At 34.0% G+C, this 23,444-nt stretch overlaps 1 protein-coding gene across 13 annotated transcripts in view; it reads right to left on the bottom strand.

The window, feature by feature from the left end:
• The window catches only part of SREK1 (splicing regulatory glutamic acid and lysine rich protein 1), a 39,316-nt gene that overhangs the window by 7,061 nt on the left and 8,811 nt on the right, over positions 1 to 23,444 (bottom strand). For 3 of the 13 annotated variants that reach the window (NM_001323527.2, NM_001270492.2, NM_139168.4), the window contains exons 2-11: positions 22,959 to 23,092; positions 17,623 to 17,746; positions 17,221 to 17,336; positions 14,282 to 14,446; positions 13,963 to 14,141; positions 12,633 to 12,763; positions 11,658 to 11,772; positions 6,385 to 6,504; positions 5,608 to 5,970; positions 1,514 to 1,609 (exon numbers count right to left, since the gene is read on the bottom strand). In NM_001323527.2, the coding sequence (NP_001310456.1) occupies positions 1,514 to 1,609; positions 5,608 to 5,970; positions 6,385 to 6,504; positions 11,658 to 11,772; positions 12,633 to 12,763; positions 13,963 to 14,141; positions 14,282 to 14,446; positions 17,221 to 17,283 (1,232 nt within the window). In that variant the 5' untranslated portion in view covers positions 17,284 to 17,336; positions 17,623 to 17,746; positions 22,959 to 23,092. Of the gene's footprint in view, positions 1 to 1,513; positions 1,610 to 5,607; positions 5,971 to 6,384; positions 6,505 to 11,657; positions 11,948 to 12,632; positions 12,764 to 13,962; positions 14,142 to 14,281; positions 14,447 to 17,220; positions 23,093 to 23,444 lie in introns of those variants that run through there. The other 10 variants (NM_001077199.3, NM_001323529.2, NM_001323533.2 and 7 more) reach the window with 7 other exon arrangements.

The raw sequence follows: 23,444 nt of genomic DNA, 5'->3' as shown, positions 1-23,444 counted from the left end.
TCATGAATCTTTATTAATAAACCTGTTTATCAATTTTCCCTAAGTTAATTTATAAATCGAATGCAACTGTAACACAAATCATCAATAGGTTTTATTTCTGGAATGCAGACAACTGACTCATGTTCAAGCAGAAAAATAACCACTGAAAGGAAAGCTAACTATACTCAAAAAAGCAATGAGGGGTATAGAGAACAGGCCTTGCCAAATACTTAAAAATACGGTATAATCTCAATAATTAAAAGGGTGGGACACTGGCACATGAACGGCCAGTCAAACCAATCCAAGGGCACAGAAGACCCAGAAATAGACCCAAACACACAGAAAAACACAGCACATGACAAAGGCAACATATCAAACTAATGTTAGAAAAATTGAGTTTTTAACAAATGGTACTGCAACAACACGGAAGCATTTGTAAAATAAAACTGAACCCATTTGCCATATTGTACACAAGAATAAGACTCTAACCAGAGATTTAACTGCAAAATATAAAACCATAAAAGTACAAGAAGGAACAATGGGAAAGTTCTATCATAATCTTGGAATAGGAAAAGCCTTTTATCAGTTTTTGACTCACATAAGAAGTCATAAAAGAAAAAGAGAAAGTTATTTTAAAAATGAAAAACCTTTGTAAAATCAAGTCTCACAAACAATTTTTTAAAAGAAACAGCAAACTGAGAATGTTATTTATAATCACATCACTAAACAATAAGCTCCCTAATATAAAAGAGTTCTTGGAAATAGAAAAGGAAACAAAAAGGCCAACAGGAAAATGGGCAGAGTATACAGACAATTCGCAGAAAAAGAAATACAAATGGCTTTCAAATCTATGAAGTGGTCACTTCTCTCATAATTAAGAGTGCAAACTGCTGCCAACTCTTATAGAGGATAATTAGGAAATATCTCTCAAAAATTACAAACATGCTTATTATCTAACTTAACAATGCCATTTCTTGAGATTTTTCCTACACACATGCACACTAAAAACAACTTAAGTCCAAAGCTATTCATTACAGCATTACATAATTTATGGTAAAAAAAATTCAAAAAACCCCTTCTACTGTAGCCTAGTTAAAAAACTAAGGTATGGCCATACAACGGAAGCCTACGCAATTATAAAAAGGAATTGAAGAAGCTCTCTCTGACCTGGTAAGTTAAGTGACAAAAAGACTTCCTGGTAGTTAAATGACAAAACCAAGGGCACAACAGTGTGTATTCTGTGTTGCTTCTTGTATTAGAAAAAAATGATACATTCTCATCTTGTTATCTGTATATGAAACTGGAAGCATATACAAAAAAACCTCACGAAGTCATTACTTCTGGGAACAGTGTAGATGGGCAAGAGTGGAAATTAAGACTTCCTGATACATAACTTTTATCTTTAATTTCTGAATAATGCATATGTATTATTCATTCAAAATATAAAGTTTAAAAAATAAAGAGAGAAATTTAAAATTTCAAAAAATATTTATTGCTTTCTCCTGTTTAGTTTTAGCACAAGCTCCCAACCTACCTCCTGGGGGACGGAGATCTAGAAGATTTCCTTTTTATGGTTTTTGATGTTCTTGGCGATCTGGAAGAACTCCTGCTCCTCCTCCTACGCCTTTCCCTGAAAATCAAAAACACATCATTTTTAAAAACAGCAATTGAAATAAACGGCAATTCAAATATACAAAAGCAAAAGGGTCCTTGATATTCTCATATGAACAGTATTCTTTAGAGGCCAGTTTAAACTTATGTCCTTTATGAGCATGTTCAATTACCTAACTTTAGAGTGGGTCAAATTATGAACCATAAATTTTACAGACTGATGAAAACATCATCTAAGACTTCATATTAGGAAGAGTAGAAGACCTCCTCCTTTTCACCTCGTTTATTTGAACAATTTCTTCAGTAGAAAAAATATTAATGGCGTGGCGTTTCTGCTTCTCTCAAGTGTATTTTCTCAGCAGCTAAAACAAGTTTTGCTTATCAAATCCTTTGTCATGTATCTAGCTCCTTGCTGCCCCACTGTGGATTATAACAAAGTAACAGGCCCTTTTCAAAAACTGAAACATAAACTGGCTTGTAAAATGTGAACTTTCTATACCCAATTATCAACAATGTCTACTTAAAAAGCATTTACATTACTATCATTTTAGAGAGAAATTGCTTTTCCCTCCAACCTCCTATCATTTCATTACTGTTGTTCTATTAATTTAAAATTTAGTGTACAAGTTGCTTAGATGTAAGCAAAACAGTTACAATCTGAAAAGTAAATATGACAGGAATAATTATAAAATAGATTACGTTATTATTATTAAAAACCATTTTGCTTATCAGATTAGCAAATGATACATATTCTAAACTACTTCAACTCAGAAACAATGAACTTCACTAGGTCTATAATTTAAGGGATATGGTACGAGGACATACCCAATGATCTATCTCACAAGTTCTGATAATCAGTGACCACATAGCTAAAAAACCAAATCCTCTGGAATTCATGTTATCCTTACCATTTCAGGAAACTGATTCTAAGAGACTAATAAAATAATTTAAGTTTTTCATTTCTAAAATAAAAAATGCTCACACGGTATATATAATATGTATTAAAATACAAAGCTCAAGAACTCTGAGAACACAACTCAATTCTACCTCTACCTAAGACTCTCTCCTCCATTACCCACTTTTATTCCCAAGACACTCCACAATTACACTTCTAATGTGGAAATTAGATACATTATTTGATTACATCAATGACATTCTCTTAACAGCTCAGCCTAAGAACCAAAAATACTTTTTTCAAAGCATGTGAATGTCAGCGTATTCCAGACTTTAAGATTACACAAAATCGCTCTGCCTTTATCAGTGTAATTCTTTTACTTATTTGTTCAGAAAGCACTATGTACAAGTGGATGTCTAATACCTACTAGCTGACGATAATGAGAGGAAAGTCTCCATAGACAGCAATCTAGACAATTACTTGAGAAAGAAATTGTATTAACAACTAAAGTTGGTGAGATTTAGACTTAAATTTGAGTTATACACCTTACCCAGCTATACAACCAGGATCATATTACTTAACCTAATCTGTTTTTCAACTGAAAAATAAAGACAATTAATAATTCAAGTTTTATTAGGTTGTTGAGGATTTAGGATAAAATCTGTAATGTGCAAAGCATAGAGTGTGACACAGAGTAGGTGCTCAATAAATATTGTTTTTTCCTTCCCTTTCTTGGTATCACCTTTAATGACAGTAAATTTAAGCATTAAAAAATTATTTAATATCATTTTCTTTAAAAGTATAAATTAGGAGACAATGTTAGAAATAAAAATATTAACTATTTTTTGAACAGTTAAAATATTCTCCATTTAGTAAACAAATCAGAACATTTGAAAAGCAGAAAAATGCTAAAAGACAAGAAATTGTAACTCTTGGCTGGGGGCGGTGGCGGCTCACGTCTGTAATTCCAGCACTTTGGGAGGCTGAGGCGGGTGGATCACCTGAGGTCAGGAGTTTGAGACCAGCCTGGCCAACATGGTGAAACCCCATCTCTATTAAATAAAATACAAAAATCAGTTGAGTGTGGTGGCACACGCCTGTAATTCCAGCTACTCAGGAAGCTAAGGCAGGAGAATCGCTGAACCCAGGAGGCAGAGGTTGCAGTGAGCAGATATTGTGCCACTGCATTCTAGCCTGGGTGACAAAGTGACACTCTGTCTAAAAAAAAAAAAAAAAAAAAAAAAATTCAAAGAAATTGTAACTCTTTACCAAGCTCTTCTGAAAGCATGAAACATTCCAAACTGCTGCCTTTATAAACTAATGTCAGTCATCTTTTATTCTCAAGGCCCCAGTTGTTACTGAAGAATGTATTTGAGCCAGGTGCAGTGACTGATGCCTGTAATCCCAGCACTTTGGGAGGCCAAGGAGGGCAGATCACTTGAGGCCAGGAGTTCAAGATCAACCTGGCCAATATGGTGAAACTCCATCTCTACTAAAAATACAAAAATTAGCCAGGCATGGTGGTGCACACCTGTAATCCCAGCTACTCGGGAGGCTGAGGTACAAGAATCACGTGAACCGAGGAGGGGGAGGTTGCAGTGGGTCAAGATCATGACACTGCACTCCAGCCTGGGCGATGAGCAAGACTCTGTTTCAAAAAATATATACATATATATTTAGGAATGAATGTGAACACTTGAACTTTCCTCTACACCAAACAACTTAAAATGGCCCGAGAAAAAGTTAAACATTCCCATGTCATCAAAAAAAGTAAATTCGTTATTAAAAAGGAATGAAAATAGTATTTGGTGCTGTGAAAGGTAATGTCTAAACAATCACAGAAACACAAAGGCATGTGTGACACAGAATCAATAAAATCACTTTGCAGTAAAGGTGTGGTTACAAGGCTCAAACCAGTACCCACAGCAAAGGAGGTTACATTAATTCTTCAATCTGTGGTTCAATGTGCTGAAATCCAGCAGTGATCTGTTTATTTTGAGCCTTGTTTTAACATATACTACTGCTTTCAACTTTATGCTTCTGAGGTAGTTTTTAAAAGTAAGTACAAGTACTAGAGAATTCTCAAACTTAATCTCTAAAATAAAGGAAAAGGGCTACTATACTTCTCATACAGAGCGTCAGCTTCCTCATGTTTTAAAACAGTGATGATAATAATCTTCTCCCAGGCCTGTTGTGAGGATTAAATAAGGTGAGACATGAAAAAGTCTACTGACATCATGTCTGGCATACAGTAAAGTGCACAATAAATGTCTACGATTATCTTTTATTATCTAGTCAAAGGCTGGTATTAAAAATAAACTACTAAAGCACAAGTTTTAAAAATGGGAAACATATATTCCTTTATCTCAAATTATTTTCTATTAAAAAACCATCTTTAAAAATCTTCAAAAATTTGCTAATATATATATTTAGTATTTTTAAGATAGTGTAGTATAAGTTAGGAACTTCCATTTACAGTCATGGTATCATCTGAAGTAAAGGATGTGGGTTTAGATAATCTTAAATCTCAAAAGTTGTTCTCATTGTACAGCTGTTACTATGGCAACTTGCTGCCACCTGGTGGTAGTAAAGCTATTAATAAACTGAAATCACGGTCCTAAGGAAAAACTCTAACCCTTAAAACTGACAAAATAAAACACGACCAAAATTTAAATGTTATGCACTTAACAAAATAAGGATAAAAATTAACTTAGGTGACAAAGAGGGCTAACACTGCAACTTCAGCAATCATTTTACATATTAAAATTAATCACACCATTCAAAAAAAGTTCAGGAAAAAGCCTAAGACGCAAATTCTTAATGTGCTTTTTAAAAAAAGTACCTTTCCCTGCCATCCCACCCTCTAAGAAAATAACAATTATTATTATTCTATTAAAATAGTGGTTACAAAGAATAGCTAAAACTCTTCAAATAATGTTGCCCAGTATCATCTCTTTCCCCACTCTGCTAGAGAAATGTTTACTCTGAAATTAGGAGAAAATGTTCTTATATTACTTTACAGGTTCCACTTGCGTACAGTAACCTTTTCTCCCTCCGTAAAAAATTTTGTTTCCAATTGTCATCAGCAAATCCCTTTGTAAAAATTTTAAGCATTATCAAACCTGCTGGAACTACGAGATCTTCGCGATGCATTGTAACTCCTGGGTGGTGTTCTGGATTTTTTATCCTTCTTTCTTTTTTCATCTATCTCTTTGGATCTGTCTTTTTCTCGTTCCTTTTCTTTGTCCTGTTCCTTTTCCTTCTCTTTGTCTCGATCCTTCTCATGCTCTTTTTCCCGTTCTCTCTCTCTGTCCTTTTCCTTGTCTTTTTCCCGGTCCTTTTCCCGTTCCTTGTCCCGGTCTTTGTTTTTACCCCGTTCCTTTTCTTTTTCACGTTCCTTTTCCCTCTCTCTCTCCTTTTCCCTGTCTTTCTCTTTCACTCTTTCCTTTTCCTTGATCTTTTCTCGAGTGTCTTTTCTCTTGTCCCTTTAAAAACAAAAATAAATAAATTCATAACTAAAATAGTTCTACCTCCTCCAAAAAGACCTCTCTCTCTTCAACAATTACCAACACAAGACAATTTATAGTACCTACAGACATTTACATATACATTTTTATATAGCTCAGGTGTACAAGAAGCTGCTAAACAAAGCTATTCATACTACGCAAGCTGAACTGAGTAGTTTGGAAACCTCATGAGTCACACTGACATCAGATTCAGATCACTGGCAATCAATATTAATCCTAGATTACTAAAACAATAAAAAAGGTTTAATTTCTCTCATTAAAAACCTAAACCACAACAGATTTTTAACAAATGAAGCCAATTAAAATATTATCCCTTAGCACTAACAGAACTCTGAGGAAAAAAAAATTATTGTTAATTTCTCTAAAACTCACCGTGAATGCGAACGACTCCTTGACTTCCGTCTCTCCCTTGATTTAGAGCGTTTTTTATGTGGGCTCTTAGATCTACGTCTGTCTTTCTGTCTTGAACGTGATCTATTATGGGATCTACTCCTAAAGAAAAAAAATTGTTAGAATATCAAAACTTAATTTACGATCTTTCAAACAAGAAAATTTAAAATCTATCCTAACAGTATTTAACAATATTTTAAAAATTTCTCTTAAATAATACTTTAGTTACATAATCTGAAATACATTTACTGGAAACTTTACCGGATATTTCATTGTCTAGAACAGAGACAGAAACAAAGAATTTAACAGTTATTTCGTATATTTTCAGATGTGGCTTTTGCTAGTCATTTTATGCCTCAAATCAGTATAGAAGATTTTTCCCTGTTGACTTGCATGTAATCTGGTCATAACACATCATGACAGGGAGTAGTGGTTACGTGGTTGAGTAGTTCCTGTGAATGTGTGCTGTCTGTCATAACAAACAAAAAGAATATATAAAAGGAAGCACAGTCCTAATGACAGCGCCACTGTGACAGGAAAATAAAAATCATTACTCATAAGTTAAAACTAGATATAATCAAATATTGGATTTGCAATGCCTTGATTTTATAGCTGTAACTATAATCATAGCTACCAGTTGAGTATCCCTTATGTGAAATGCTTGGAACCAAAAGTGTTTTGAATTTCACATTTTTGGAGATTTTCGAATATTTGCATTCTATATATACACACGCATAAAACTGGTTGAGCATCCCAAACACACAACTGAAAAATCCAAAATGCTCCAGTGAGCATTTCCTTTGAGCATCACGAAAGCGCTCAAAAAGTTTTGAAGCCTTTTGAATTTCAGATTTTCAAATTTGTGAGTCTCAACCTGTATGAAAAGAAACTGTTAACTGCAGGAAACGTTTAATTGCAGGAAAAGTAACTGTTATTCCAATTTGGACTAGGCCCCCTTTCTCACTGAAAAAGTTTTTTGAGAATGTGATTTTTTTCATAACGAGGTATCCTAACTGCTTATTAAATTGTAACAAAACAGATGTACACAACTTAAATAGCAAAGTGATTAGACTCAACAGCTTTGGAGTCTGACAATCTGGCTCTGAAAGTCAGCTCTGCCACACGCTACCTGTGAGAACTCTGGCTAGTCACTTAACCTCTCCAAGCCTGAGTTTCTTCCTCTATAAAGTGGAGTAGCAATCATACCTGCATCTCTTAGGGCTGTCATGAGGATTACAACTGATGATGTATGTAAAACTGCGTAGTATTCTCTAGCACAAAATAAATGTTTAAAAATCTTAACTCTCAATGTCATCATCATTAAAAGTTAACATAAATGTAAACTTTATATCCTTATGTACGTATTCCAAGGAAGCTGAATGAACTTCTATAAGTATCCTTTATACAGCTAAAACTCATCTTGATAGTCATGTTTTAATAAATTTAGAACAATTATCAGTAAAAGAAATATAGTTGGGCTGGGCACAGTGGCTCACACCTGTAATCCCAGCACTCTGGGAGGCCGAGGCAGGTGGTACTTGAGGTCCACCTGCCTTGAGGTCAGGATTTCAAGATCAGCCTTGCCAAACATAGTGAAACCCGTCTCTACTAAAAATACAAAAATTAGCTGGGTATGGTGGCATGCACCTGTATTCCCAGTTACTGAGGAAGCTGAGGTGGGAGAATCAACTGAACCCGGGGGGCAGAGGTTGCAATGAGCTGAGGTCGCTCCACTGCACTCCAGCCTGGGCAACACAGCAAGATTCTATCGCAAAAAAATAAAAGAAAAAAGAAAAAGACCATGTTTTGTGGTATGCTTTGAAACCAGAAAAACCTCCAAATAATCCTCATTAATAACAAAATCTTTTGTTTTTAAACACATTTTTCAGTTAGTCAAAATTCTGATTAAAATACTAATCAACATTACAAATCAAAATTTCAATAGCTAATTTCCATTTAAACTACTCATCTACTATTTGGCTGTAAAAATAATATACAATTGTCTTCATTCCATATTTTTTTTTTTTAGCCTCACTTGGTTCAACATACCACATTATTTTTTATTTTATTTTTTTCCAAAGACCCTAGATAAGAAATCACATACCATGTTTTTAATACAAGAAGATAATTCATAGCTTGCTGAAATCTTTATCACTAGTACTTAAGAGCCATGAAAGTTAAGGAGTAGATGTTAAGGCAAAACTGCAAAACTGAGAACATTATTAGTCCGTTTACAGATATCCACATAGGGTAATCTTTTAAAGTGCCTTTGCTTCTACATACTTAATAAAAAGTCTTACTATAAGATTTCTGTTTTAAGTTGTCCTTGCTAAAAATATAATTCTTTTGTTTTCCTCAAAGCAATGCTTTCCACCAACCTTAAGCAAAACTTATTTTTAAAAATTAAGTATAACTCTCATAAATAAGTTAATAATAAAAAGCACTGATCACTTGGCTTCCAACCTTACCCTGCAATTGAGATGTCAAAAGACAGTGACTAAGAGTAATTATTACATTTTAACTGTGACGTTAAATATTTTCACGTCAATCTTACCCACTAGTAGTTTTCTGATTAAGAATGCTAGAAGTAGTCAAGAGCAGATCTAATCTAACTAAAGATTTATCATTAACTCTCATTTTTAATGCGAAATTGTATTATTCTGAATAATGCAAAATCTTATTTTTAAATTAAACTGTAAAAAACCAGCAACTTACCATTATGCTGCATCAAAGTTCATTTGTAAATCAGTTGTTTTCCATTAAAATATTATAAAATGTCTTACAGTTCCTGTTCTAATCTATAAAGGTTACTTAAAATTATAACAATTATAGTACTATCCATCTTTTCTATGTCTCAATAAATAAAACAGGCATCAAAACTTGGATAAAATGGAAACATACCTCCCTAGTCCTAGCCAAGGTCACAGTGACAAGAAACCCCTTCCTCTCTCTAACCATAAGAAGCGGAAGGAACAGGGAAAGGCTGTGGGGGAGGGTTGGGAGGTAGGAAGCATGGCTCTAGAAGCATTTGAAAATGGTGAAAAAGTAGAAGGTGGGCCTTTAAGTTAAAGGGTTCCTGCAACCCACGCTCATGCTAAGTCTAATAGGTCAGGGTGAGATTCAAGGACAACAACTCCCACTAGCAGAGGAGGAAATGTCAAGAAAGGCCTATCATTCCCTTCCTGATTTCTGGGGGATAGTGGGATCCTTCCAGGTCAGAATCTTTAAGTTAAATGTTTTTAGGTAAGGAATTTTTTTTTTCTCATTTAAAGATAACTCATTCTCTCTTTTGTATTTGTTCTTGAACTTAAGGCTACATGTTTCCACATGCATGCACAAAAACAGAATATGCTGACAAAAGTATGTATGTATGTATATATGTCAGTTAAGAACATGTATACCATGCCTATAATCCCAGCACTTTTGGAGGCCAAGGTGGGAGGATCGCTTGAGCTCAGGAGTTCAAGACCAACCTGGGCAGTATGATAAAACCCCGTTTCTACAAAAAATACAAAATTAGCCAGGCGTGGTGGTGCGTGTCTGTGGCTTAGCTACTCGAGAAGCTGAGGTGGGAGGATCACTTGTGCCTGGGAGGTGGAGGTTGCAGTGAGCCGAGATCAAGCTACTGCACTCCAGCCTCGGCAACGGACTGAAACTGCATCTTGGGGGGGGAAAAAAAAGGAATATATATACATTATTTCTAATGCTACGCAGACATTGTGTGTACATCTGTATAGACATATCTACATAAAGCACATAAAACTTCACTTAGATGATCAAAGAAACAACAATTTTATTCATCATCAAGTTTTGTCTTGTTCCAGTCTTGGACATTAGCTCTCTCTTACAATCAACACAATATGAGATCCAGGTCATCAGTCTTCCTCAGAAAAGAAGTTGTAATATTACTCTTCAGCCCAATTCTATTATTTCCTTGATCTCCTTTACCCTCACCACATCCTGTCAACATATGGAAATATCCACAGTCTAGTATCACTGCAGCTTCTGTTCCACTGTCCTTTCCTGATTCTGGCCTCTGCTGCACTGCCTTATTCTTGTATGTGAAACAACCTCCTTCACTTGGTTCTGAAAGTGTCTTACTGTAAGTCCTTGGATAAACGCAGTAAAACCATATTCCAAAGGAGATTTTGCAAACTAAGAATAGACAAGTATACACTAGTATATCTGGTGTATACTTGTTTACTAGAATCTAAGAAAGAACATCCTATTTTTCCTCATTCTTTGAATCTCCTTGATCAACACACACACACACAAAAACAAAGTAAACTGAGCCTGCTGGTAAAACAATGTACAACAAACTGGTTCCTTTTCCCTCCCCCAAATCCTTTCTCCTTCTTTAAAATCCCAACATACACAGATACACTCTTCCCTCCCTGCTCTCTCAAGACATACATAGGAGTACGTATGTACACATAACATGCAATTAGGATCCACTATACATACTTTCACATTTCAAAAACAGCCCCCTCCGTACCTTAAAATAGACAACAAAATTTGTAACTTTAGTAATGATCTTTAGGGTACTTCCAATTAGGATGGTATTGCCAAATTTGCATTTTAAGGTCCCCTTTATACCAAAGACAAAGAAATGACAGATAAAGAAAATCAAAAGGACAAAGCTATGATCAAAAATAAGATAAACAGAGCTTAAGCAAAGTACTAAAACTGAAGCTGAAACTGCAAGTTACTCCTGTGTTTCAGGTCCAAAAGTGGGCAGAGGAGGCTCTTATCACCAGCAATACCAAGGACTCAAAGTGTTCCTTTGGATACGTGGTACTGAAAATAGGGAATTGCGTGAAAGATCTGGGGTGGTGCTCCCCAAACTTGGAATAGACTGGGAAAACAAAACAAAAAAGCTGCAACTTGAGCAATTATTTTCAGCATGGTCACTAAGGATGTTCCCTTTTCTCAATATGAAGAATGAAAACAGCTTTTGTCACTTCTATATAAAGACTAGTTTACTCTTAGAAAAATCTGGAATAGAGTATCTTTAGACACAAAACTAACTTCTAAAAATAAAGATAAGTTCAAATATTTAAAAATTAAGTATCATTAGACAAAATTTCATTCTCAACTACAGTATTACAATTAGAACAATATTTAAAGGTAACCACACTTCAGGTGTACACTACTAAAATTTCTAACTTCTGATATTTTGACGAAAACTCATAAAATCTTAATATTTTAAATACAAAACTAAAATAAAATTTAAATATGACAGCAGAAATTCTCACCTGTGTTTTGATTGTGATCTTTTCCTTCTAGAATGGGATTTTGAGCTAGACCTGGATTTTGAGCGAGTATGGGAACGAGATCGACCGCCTTTTCTTTCATTGCTCTTTCCAGACTCTGGGAGGAAAAAATCACTTTGCAGTGTAAGCTCAGAACAATTAAAGATCCCAGTTAATAATCAGGCACAAGTGGAATGTACCACATATAGTGCAAGGGGCCTACTCTCTGTACATCCTCCTCCTTCAGAAACATCCAAGAAAGTCATTGCATAAACTCGTTGAGTGCAGCCACCCTGCAGCAGTACATATAAACCAGATGATTATAAACAGCTGTTCGTAATATTTTGTTGCTGCCGTAACGTACGATTACAACATGTCTGTAATTCCTGTGACAGTGATTTTAAGTCCTTTCTCCACTTATTCTGCTAGAATTTGAAGCTTAAATTCTAAGTGTTGATTTAGAAAATCTGCTCAAATGTAAACCACCTAGATGTTTTTAGAATGGGTTTTTTAATTATTTTCATTAGCAACACAAAAGTTTAAATAGATGTTCTTTTACCTTACTAAAATACAGTATCTGTATTTTTTTCTAAATCACGGGCTCTCTTCTCTACTTCTAAAATTAAAATGTTGAGGAAAAGTAAACCTGCTGAGTCGTAACGTTTTAAATATATGTACTCTTTTTAGCCTTGCAATAACATTTTTGCTTTCAGCAAATCACTTGTGAGCACTGATTTTGCTATGAAAATACAGAGCTGATTAGCTCAGACTAAAGTGCCTCAATTCAGTATCACAGAAAGAGATAAAATATGGGCTAAGTTGTTCTTTGACATGAGTATGCTACTTACTATTTCTTGAGTTTCAGTCTTCTTGTTTGTAAAATGAAGTGACTGAACAAGATGATTTCTAAAATTCCTTCCAGTTCTAAGAGTCTATGATCTTTAAACTATGACCTATGTAACAACGTTATGTACTTACCTGGTTCAATAGCTGCTGAGATAAATGACTGAGCTTCTCGTACTCGCTTCATTACTTCTTCTAACTCCTTAGCTGCAGCCTGAGGTGTCATCTCAGGGGGTTTTACTATTGCATTGTTGGAGTGATTTATTCTAAATTAAAAATATTAGCATATCACAAATACACACCACATTTTATAAAACATGAAACAAACATTTATATGATACACATATTTATAAACGTGAGGACATCTCAGAAGCACGTAAGAATGATATACAGAATAACCAAAAGCAACCTCAAAACCATGATTAATCTCTCATCCCCACTTCCTATCATTCCTTGCGAATACAACCAAAAGCAGGGAGAAAAGAAAAATTGAACCCTAGCTAACTTAATTCAAACAGACTAGATGAAGTGCTTTTCCATAGCTTAGAATTAAAATAAATTAAAATGTTGATACCAATATGAAAATGAATCATTTCTATTTTCAAATCAAAAGATCTTACTGATATCCTGTACACTCTAGAAGAAGGGTAAGCTACCTGTATATCATCATATTATGTACACCATTTTAACCAACGCTGAACCATGGCTGAGTTAGACATAGCTTTGAATGTGCAAGGCATCTGAAAAAATTCTTCCTCTACTAGGTAAGAGTGACTTCTCTGATGCACATGAATGGATATTATGTGTCTTGCTTTACCCCTTCCACACTGGGAAGACAAGTACCCACTAAAAACTTATCCTTAACAGAAAAATCCTGATCAAATTGTATAACTAAAGCAATCTATGAAATTCAAGCAAAACTATATATGCCTCAACAATCTGCATGAAATAGAATTTCTGGTCTGGAGTATCTCGAAGGCCATTATCAACGTTTTACAAACAAGGATGTAAGCAAACCTCAAAAGTCAAAATTTCTGGTTTAAAACATTTCTGGGCACTTATAATTTCCTTCTGTAGATTTTGAATTTACCACAGTTGTTACTGGAAGTACTGTAGTTCAACCCACCTGTTAAGTTGCTCAATTAGTCTAGTGTCATAATGTAAAACCAACCTGACTATTAAAGTTTATGGAAAAAGACCTACAACCGTTATGCAGGGTATATAAATAATGTTAACACTGAATTAGACCCTAGAAAACAGAAAATGAGAAAATAAATGTCTCTAAATAAAGGAATTTAAAGACTAAAATGGTAAGTATCTCATGTATTTCATTTATACTTAACACAAAGTCTTCCTTTCCACAAATTGCCAATTACTATTAAAAAGAAAAAAAAAGCCTTCATTACATCAAAAATACTTTAAATGTTTCAAAATCATTAAAATTTCTTTGTTTAGGATTTCTTACTTCAGTGGCCTGTCTCCAAACATAACTCCATTAAAAGCAAGGGCCCTTGGTACAGAATTTTGGTCTGCAAATTCCACAAAAGCAAACCGAGTTGGCTGAGTCTCATCACCTGCCATCCGCACAAACTTCACTTCTCCAACTTGTTTAAAAAATTCAAGTAGTTGATCAGCTGTCGTTGTCTAAGGGAACAAAGTGACACTTTGATAAAATATATCCATTTAAAAAATCAGATAAATATTACTGTATCCACTGATATGATTTTTAAGAAGAGAAAAAGAATAAGGGCTACTGCTGCTTTGTTTCTTCTTTAATTAGTTACCTGGGAATTCAGATTTCCAACATAAACCGTTCTCCTAATTTCATCTATTTTGGAAGGATCCACGTTTCCCATAAGTGGTGGCTGTGGTATCTCTCCAAGTGTTGCAATGTTGGGGTCTAGTGCTGCTGCTGGTATAGCTCCCAAACTGCTAAGTGAAACACCAAGCTATCGAAAGAAGAAAAAAAACACACAGAACACATATTTTCTATTAGTATCCAAAGATACCATTCTCTAATCTTGAAAAGAATGAACTAACTCAACAAGAATGAAAGGAGACTAGGGACTCCGAACTTTCAGTCATATATATGTCTGAGTTATTAAAGTAAGGTCACATTAGTTTTAAATGTAATTTGAAATATATTTTACTGTCTGGATATTTTAGCCACTTTTAAACTTGACCCTAAAAGACAGGCTGTTTCTCATTACCTGACATAGCTATGTTCTATAGTTTCCGTGAACAATGAATTATTGAATATTGAACCATTATTCCTAGGGAAAATACAGGGTGAAGTTCCTACAAGCCTCTGGTCACATTTACATTAACTAGTAAAATATTTAACCTTATTTTATATGTTCTTCTGTTTAAAGACACCTTAGCTGTTATATATTGTCGATTCATTAACACTGAACTTACAGCCAGCAGCGCTACAATTCAGGCCTGAATGAAGCTTATCTAATACATGTATTTAATATTTTCTCCATGAGGCACTTCACAATCTCCCTGTACTTAGGAACACTACACAGCAGTTTGGCACTACACTTGTGGGCCCATCTTAACAGTGAAATCACCAACAAAAAGCACAACAATTCAAAGAACATAGCACTAAACAGACTGCGTGCTTGTTTACTGCCTGAGTGCCAAAACAAGAAGATTTCGACCTCCGTGCAAATAGACAAACCCCAATTTTTCACCACTCTGTGTATGTCCACGAACGACCACAAAAGTGCTCCAACTGTTGATGTGGGGATTTCAAAAAAATTTTACTTACTAAGTGAATTCAAAAATACAGAATTCACAAAGAATGAGAATCAACTGTACCTTGGTCATTGAAAAACACAGATGAGTATGAGTATGAGTTCCTAACAGTCAACAATTATCATAGCATCGAATTTAACTGAGGTAGTAACTTAATCCTCATATCAACCCTAAGAAATGGGTTATTATTATCATGCTGAAAGTTTACCTAAGAAAATATATCTAAAATATTGAGCCCTTACTTATGCCATGGTAGGAAAAGGGCAAAAACCTTCAAAAAAACTTTGAATGATCTTTCTATAGCATCACTAAATTCAGTTTTTACTTTCAGCATTAAGGAACGTATTATTTTTAATATGAATGTAAACTAGAAGAAATGTAAGATCTCAGAATTTGAAAACAGAAAAAATTTTTCAGAACGAAAAGAGCTTTCAAGGAAAAAAGCACAACTCTTTTCATTTCCACTTATACTATTAGAGAACATTTTGACCATTAATGACTATATATACAAATATGATACAGAACTAAGATTTTAACAACTGTTAAGTAATGGCACTTGCTAATGGTGAAAACGGAAGTTTATGAAATCAATGTCACTTATCACAGCAGCCAGTCTGATCTTTTTAAAACATGTCAAATCATGTCATATCCCTGCTTAAAACCCATCAATGGTTTCTAATTACCTTAAGAATAAAACTCAAACCCCTCTTTCCATGGTCTAAAAAGCCCTACCATAATCTGTGTCCTATCTATCCCCTCCAATCTCAAACACTCATGACCCTCACTCACTATGCTTCAACCATACTGACCACCATTCTGTTCCTTGAACACATAAGTTCAATTAAAAAACATTTCCCCCCAAGAATCAGAATGCAGGTCTTCAGCATAGCAATGTTATGTAAAAACTACAAATCTAAAATTTTGCACTTCAAAATTTCAGAAACCACTCTTACAATCTAGATAAATTAACTACAATCACATAGTTCATTTCTTAGTTCAATTCCTATCCAACACCACAAAGCTAGATTCAACTTCCAATTAAGGCAAGCTTTGTATTTTGTTCTATGTTGTCTTTTGAAGAAAAATGGCACTTCTTTTAAAATAAATATGGCCAGAGTTTTTTAAGCAAAAACCAAGAACCAGTAATAGTAATATACCCTTTTTTTTTTTTTGAGACTCTCCCTCTGTCGCCCAGGCTGGAGTGCAGTGGCGCAATCTTCGCTCACTGCAAGCTCCGCCTCCCAGGCTCACGCCATTCTCCAGCCTCGGCCTCCCGAGCAGCTGGGACTACGGGCACCCGCCACCACGCCCAGAGAAGTTTTTGTATTTTTAGTGGAGACGGGGTTTCACTGTGTTAGCCAGGATGGTCTCGATCTCCCGACCTCATGATCCACCTGCCTCGGCCTCCCAAAGTGCTGGGATTACAGGCATGAGCCACCGCGCCTGGCCGTAATATCCTTTTTTAATCCCACTTGGAAATCACAAAGGAAGCATTACTAAATTATGATTTAATTCTGCATAGTTAATGGAAAAATATTTTGCCATGTTTTCACCTTATTACATTTTCTCAATATCAGACAAAGACCTGTTTTTTTCCCATTACCAAAGTTGTGGATCATTTCACGTATTTTAAATGGATTTAATCCTCATTAACTGAGAAATACAGTTACCTAGATCCTCTATGCTATCTAAAATATTGAGTTTTAATAACTGATTTTCTAGTGAATAATCTATTGGGGTTCTCAAATTTAAATGAATCCCCTATTACTTCAGGAGTAAATCCAAAACGCAGCGTTAAGTCACTGATAAAGTGAAAAAAAAAGTTTAAGCAGTGATTTCGAATCCTCTCTATTAAAAAAAAAAAAAAGAAGAAGATCCAAATGCAAATAATCTGAAGCTCTCTATTCAACTGGTCACACAGTTGAACATTCACCTCTTTCATAAGCCAGCTTATAGTACTTACAGTAGTCAAAGGATTTGGGGTCGGTATTGGAAGCAATCCTGCACCAGGCATCAGACTTGTCATGGTTGGAGCAGGAGCCAATAAAGAGAGGGCTTTGGATTCCTCTGGGATTTTACCTGCAGAGGCAAGTTCCAAACATTACAAAAAGCAGAAACACCACACAAACTTTACACTATGATTTTACAATTACCCTTGCAGTTAAAAAATAATAATAATAAATGAATCTATCTATCAGATCTGTATAAAGAAATAAATAAGAACTTAAGTCTTTCCTTTTATCCTGCTCTACTAGGAAAAATAAAAGTGAGCAAAACTTCAAATATTAACAATCTCATTAATGGAATATTATTTTAAAAATTGAATAATGTAGACAATTATTTAACACTTTGAGCTATGGGTCACCTGTACTGGAAACTTAATGTTCATGAACCAAACGATATCAAGCATGGACGCTTTCCCAGGACGGTGTTTTCGCGGTGATCGAAAGTTGTGTTACACATGACAACCGTTCGTGTTGGCTGCATCACTAATAGCACACAGAACATCAGATACAGAAAAGAAGAACATTTTTTAAAGTTTAATCCCCAGAAATGGCAAATAACCAAATTAGTCAAAAAAAAGAAAAAGAAAAAACAAATATGTGCGAATTGAAATTTCTTAATGAGTGCCCCTATCCTGTTACTGAAACTACCTATTTGTGATGCAAACAATTTTGATAACCCTCCAACAGATTCCATTTAATTTCAAATAGAAAACAAAAACTTACTCCATGTAATCAACTTCAACGTAAAAGGAAGCCTACATCCATTCAGTTAATAAAGCATCTCACCAACATCAGAGATGCCTAAAAGAACTCAGTTCCAAAAAATATGCCTTGGGAAACTACTAAAAATGTTTCAGGAAAAAAAAAGTTCCCTGGTTTCAGAAAACTTCTTATTAACTTTTAGAACCAATTTATGTATACTTATCTGAAGGGGGAGGTTAATGCCTTAAAGCTTGCTTAAAAACATTTTAATTGCCTAATAACAATAGTAACATTAAAATAATCTAATAACACTCAGTAGGAAAAAAACTCCCTACAACCTAAAAAAATGAAAAACTTACTCTGAAATAAGTACGATTTGGCATATTCATTGCTGAATTCTAATCAATTACTTCTGATAAGGACTGCAACTTTCACATTATTTTTCCTTATCCCCTTAGGCAAAAAAAAAAAAAAAAAATTCTTAAATAGTTGACTACATGTGGATATATTTAGAAGAACACTCATGTGGTAGCTGGTAAAGCATTTCTATTATTAATTCTCCAAAAGTGTTTTAAAAGACAATGCACAAAATCATGCTAAACTGAAATATAGCATATGCAGTAAATTTCCACAAGCACCATGCCTGGTTTCAGTTGTAAAAATATTTAAAACAACCACATGTGCAGAGATAAATCCCTAAACAATATTATCTGAATATATCTTTAAACATGGATGGAACTCAAGTTGGAATTTAAAACTTGATTTAAATAATGGCTATGCCTTATTTATAGGAAGCAAATAAAACCTACTATTTTCTACCTTTGCAGCATCTAAGTTTATATTACTTTATTACTTTCAAAAACAAAGTTATCTTTATTATTTCAGTGAAAATTCTGGAGAACAGATTTCTTAACATGCATCAACAAAAGGCAGGTAGGCCTTACTGAAAACATCAAATAACAATAATCTGCTTTATATGTATTAGTTATTGGTATTAACACATGTATTTATATATACCCACATATACACTATACTATTTATATTGATTTCACCTGTTTTATCTGTTATAAATTGGTATTATCTCAAAAGGTTTGTAAAACCTGAACATTCTTGATAAATTGAGGTTTTGAGGCAGAAACTCCATCGTCACTACCTTAATGTATGCACCTAAGGAAACTCAGAGTTCTAATCTAGTAATGTCCCAAATTTAATATTACTTGTCCTTTAATAAGTAAAACTACCTATTGAAGACATTGTAGAAAGACTATACAAACAAAAAGGGTATTCAACACTGGCCAAAAGTTGACTACTTAGTATTATGAAGTCTTTCACTTTCAGCTTAAGTATCAGTAGGTTGTCAAACTCTCCCACTGCCTTTCAAAAGAGTATACTACTATAAATATAGTATACTACTATAAATGTATAAATCCACTATAAGCACATTTTTTAATAAATTAACTTTCAATTACCATTCTAATTACTCTATATACTTATTCTAATTACCTAAAGGTAATGGCAAAAGTACTTTAAGAAAAAGCTCCATTGCTTAATTTCCAAGATAGAATTCTACCAAATTTACCCTCCAAATAACAGAGCTTATAAAAGTATAAAACAAATAAGCATTTAGCATTTTTCCCAAACTATACTCCTCAAAGTCAACTGAGGAAAACATCTCTCACAGTATTATAGTCCTAATCTCAGAATCCATTTAGAAGCTAGTAACCTCTGAAAAATATTCAACAAAAAATTCAAGCTAACAAAAACCTACATGCAAATACTTAAGTTTCTCAAATATCCATTCCCCACATAGGCAACAAAAAGTCTTCATAAGTCAAGGAAATAAGTTATATGATAAATAACCATCATAAAAATGAAAGGCTCTTCTTTACTCCCAGATTGTTATATTTACTTATTTTCCTTGATGATTTTGTATGCCTAAAATTCCAGGGGGAAGGACAAAAATTAGAAGCTATCAGTTTTTATGAGAGATGTAGACTAGGGGGGAAAAAAACTAGAAAAATGTTGCGCTGAGATCAGAAAGTGTTCCTGAGATACTTATCAGTGTTTTAATGTTTCAAGAATAAAATGTACCTTATGAGTCCATACACACAAATTAAGACTCACAATGAGCTTCACAACACTGTATCCTAATTTACCACATGAAAATTTGCTTTATCTTAAGGTTGAGCTCTACTAATCATCTCCCAATATAATTTGCAACACGTTATGAACCCTTAATGAAATACCATTTACAAAGAACTGGGAAAACCAGCTCACAAGTTAAAGTGAAAGAGATTTAACAAAACAAAAACAAAAACAAAAACAAAAAAAGGGACAAAATAAAGAAAAAGAAATGAAATTAAAGTAAAACAATAAAAAACAGAGACAGGGCGTCCATCTTCTGCGGTTCAGACTCCGATCTCATTTCCCCAATGAAGGTTTCACTTGACGGCAGGTTTAGTGGCATGGCAAACAATGCCTAACTCAGGCAAGTGTAACAGGTCTGCCTTGGCCAGTCTAGTCATCTAATAATGCACAAATATCACATAGAGAAAACATACAAAACCAAATTAATAGTCAAAATCCATCTACCAGAAAATGTGGACATAAAGTTATGACTGATGATTAGGCTGACACCCTTGTTATGTTTGACCGTATCTTTTTCTACGTGTTAACATTTATAAAAAGAAATCTGAAATGCACGCAACAACAAAAAGAGGTCATATTTGGACAAGTATAATGAAAGCATATTTTATTTTGAAATGGCATGTTTTATTAACAAAGGCTAAGGCTTAATATGCATGAAACTGTTACACATCAAATGTTACTTTTACAACTTAGGATCTTCTCACATTACTGTCTACACTAAAAAACAGCAATTCAAAGAAACTGAAAAAACTTCTTAAATTTTTTTCTATGGTTTTTCTCACTTATGTCATGATGCTGTTTGTTCAACATCAAGGAAAGGATGCATTCAGTGAGGTCAACAGAACACTGCTTGCTTACAGCACCACAGCACATCTCCTCTTACAGAACTTACTCCACTGGAATACTTTTCTTTGGTTATTTCACACTCACTCTGCTATCTTTTTTAGTACAATAATGCACTATTTCTTTGCTTGTAGTGCATAATCAGTATTTTAACAGCTCACTGTGAAATTCTCGAGGTTCCATAAATTCATCTCTGCCGTATTTAATACAACTAATGAAAAACGTATATCTGAATGTTTCACCAATACCAACTGTAGGTTAGTGTTTCAAAATATTTACTTACTTATAACTAAATTGCAATAAAAGTATGCTTAAATTTTTCTGTTCAAAAACAGTAAAACTGTCCAAGTTGTAATATTAAAAACACTAAAAAGGTACATCTGACTGTGCATTTATTCATCTCTATCAAGTAAAATAAACAATAAAAGGGACATCTACACGCCCATCATCTTGAACATTTATAACAAAATACAGTAGGGCTTCTCAGATATATGAAAGATTCTATGGGAATAAAGCAGGTTTCAACCAAGCAACACTGATAAAATTCTTCCTTCCAATTCAGTAATAAGCTAACACAATAAAAGACCCAGTGTTATTGGTGGTATTAATTTTCTGATATAATTAATATTCCAGTTTAATAAACCTTTTACCTGATTTCTTTTTTCCCATGCAGTTTCTCAGTATGAAATTTCACTACAAAGTTTGTAGAACGAAACCATTCACCAGCTCCTTTCCCACCTCACCAATTTGGGGCTTACTGTAGCCTTACAGATCAGCAGATAAAGATACATTTGGCCAATAATTAACTTTAATCCATTTTTATCTTCCCTACCCACTCTAACCCCCAAGCATGGGAAAGACACTTCCAAATTTATCTGAAAAATACTGAGAATGTCCTATTCTGGGACTTAAAAAATACGAGCCTGGTACTCACTGTATTAGACTGTAATGTTTTTGACATCCCAGAACAGGCATTCTGAAATAAGCATAAAACCTTTAAAGTGCAGCAAACTGCTTATTATATATTATTTTAATGTCAGCCTGGCCACTAAAAGAGGTTTTAAAAATTACATATGAAAGCCCATCAAACTGTTTTCCATAAACCTTTATGTTTAAAACAGTTTCAATCATCCACCAGAGAAAATCTACTTTAAGACATTTTAATTTATAATAACCCAATTCTAAAATCCTGTACACATGCTAGTCAGTGCTCTGAATAAAAGTTAATTATACACCAGAAGTGTCAAAATTCAGCACAGTCTATTATACGTGAGTGGCTCTGTAAACAGAAGTTACTAAAAAATATTAGTAATAATTAGTTCTTAAAGCAGTTTAGGTCATAAAATTTAATGGATACTTTAAGGCCTTTGTTCCTATCTTCAACAACTACTTCCTTCATGGAGGCTTTGGAAAATTGCTTTCCTTTTTTTCCAACACTCCTCCTGCCCCTTTTTGGGGCCAGTAAAAGAAAACATTAAATTCCAGTTGCAAAGCAAACAATTACATTGAATATAAAATAATGATCTCATAGTAACAATTAAGGTAAATTACCTTAAGAGTGTACTTGAAAGTATAAATTACAAATATTTTCTTATAAATATCACTTAACCCCAATTTGCCAAAATGTGTACACTATTTTCATTTGTAATAGTATTAATATTGAACACACAAGGTAAATGCTTGTTTATGCATTTAAAATAATTTCCCATATCAATTATTTTTTAATTTCAGAAAGCTTTCTTTGCAATCTGCAAATTGACTACAGAAAGCCAAAGCAAACCAGAAGCCAATGAATGTTAAATTGTAAAACCTCAAATGTACATGTCATAAATTAACCATTTTAATATTACTATTAGGTAAAAAGGTTTACCTCCTCCAAATTTCATTCTTACTTTCACACACACACCAAGAGTACTGTCTACTTGCCAATCTCTAGGAAAGCTAAAGGCAATAACAGACAGGACAGAAATTCAAATAAGAGGAAAAAAAGCGAGATACCAACCTTCTGCACAAGGAACAACTATCAGAGCTCTGTCAATAAAAACCGTGTTAGTTAGATGCTGGGCCACGCCAACACTTGATGGATCACGAAACTTAACATAACATACTTTGGAGGAAAAAGCAAGAGGTGCGTTGCTGCAAGATAAAAAGAAAAACAATTGAACTAATAAACATTTGCTTGGTTTTATCATTTTCACTTAAAATTTCTTTCTTAACCTTTACATAATCTTACGAAATTAAGACTTTAAAACTTTTTGTTATTAAGGATCATTAACACATAAAACAGTGAAACTTAGTCATTTAATGGTGATTTGTCTACCACAACAGAAGGCAATCCAGGCAGGCCTACTGCCTTACTTGTAAAACTTGGAACTCAAATTAATCAATCCTTAATCCGAGTGAATGTAAAAAAAGCTAATTTAACCCAAAAATTAACTCAAAAAGTGTATCATATGTAAGCAAAAATCCCTTTATAAAAGCTCCAAAC

This window comes from Homo sapiens, chromosome 5 (genome assembly GCF_000001405.40).
Source record: "Homo sapiens chromosome 5, GRCh38.p14 Primary Assembly".
NCBI classification, from domain to species: domain Eukaryota; kingdom Metazoa; phylum Chordata; class Mammalia; order Primates; family Hominidae; genus Homo; species Homo sapiens.
Note: the sequence above shows the minus strand (reverse complement) of the source record. Positions and strands in the feature narration are given on the sequence as shown.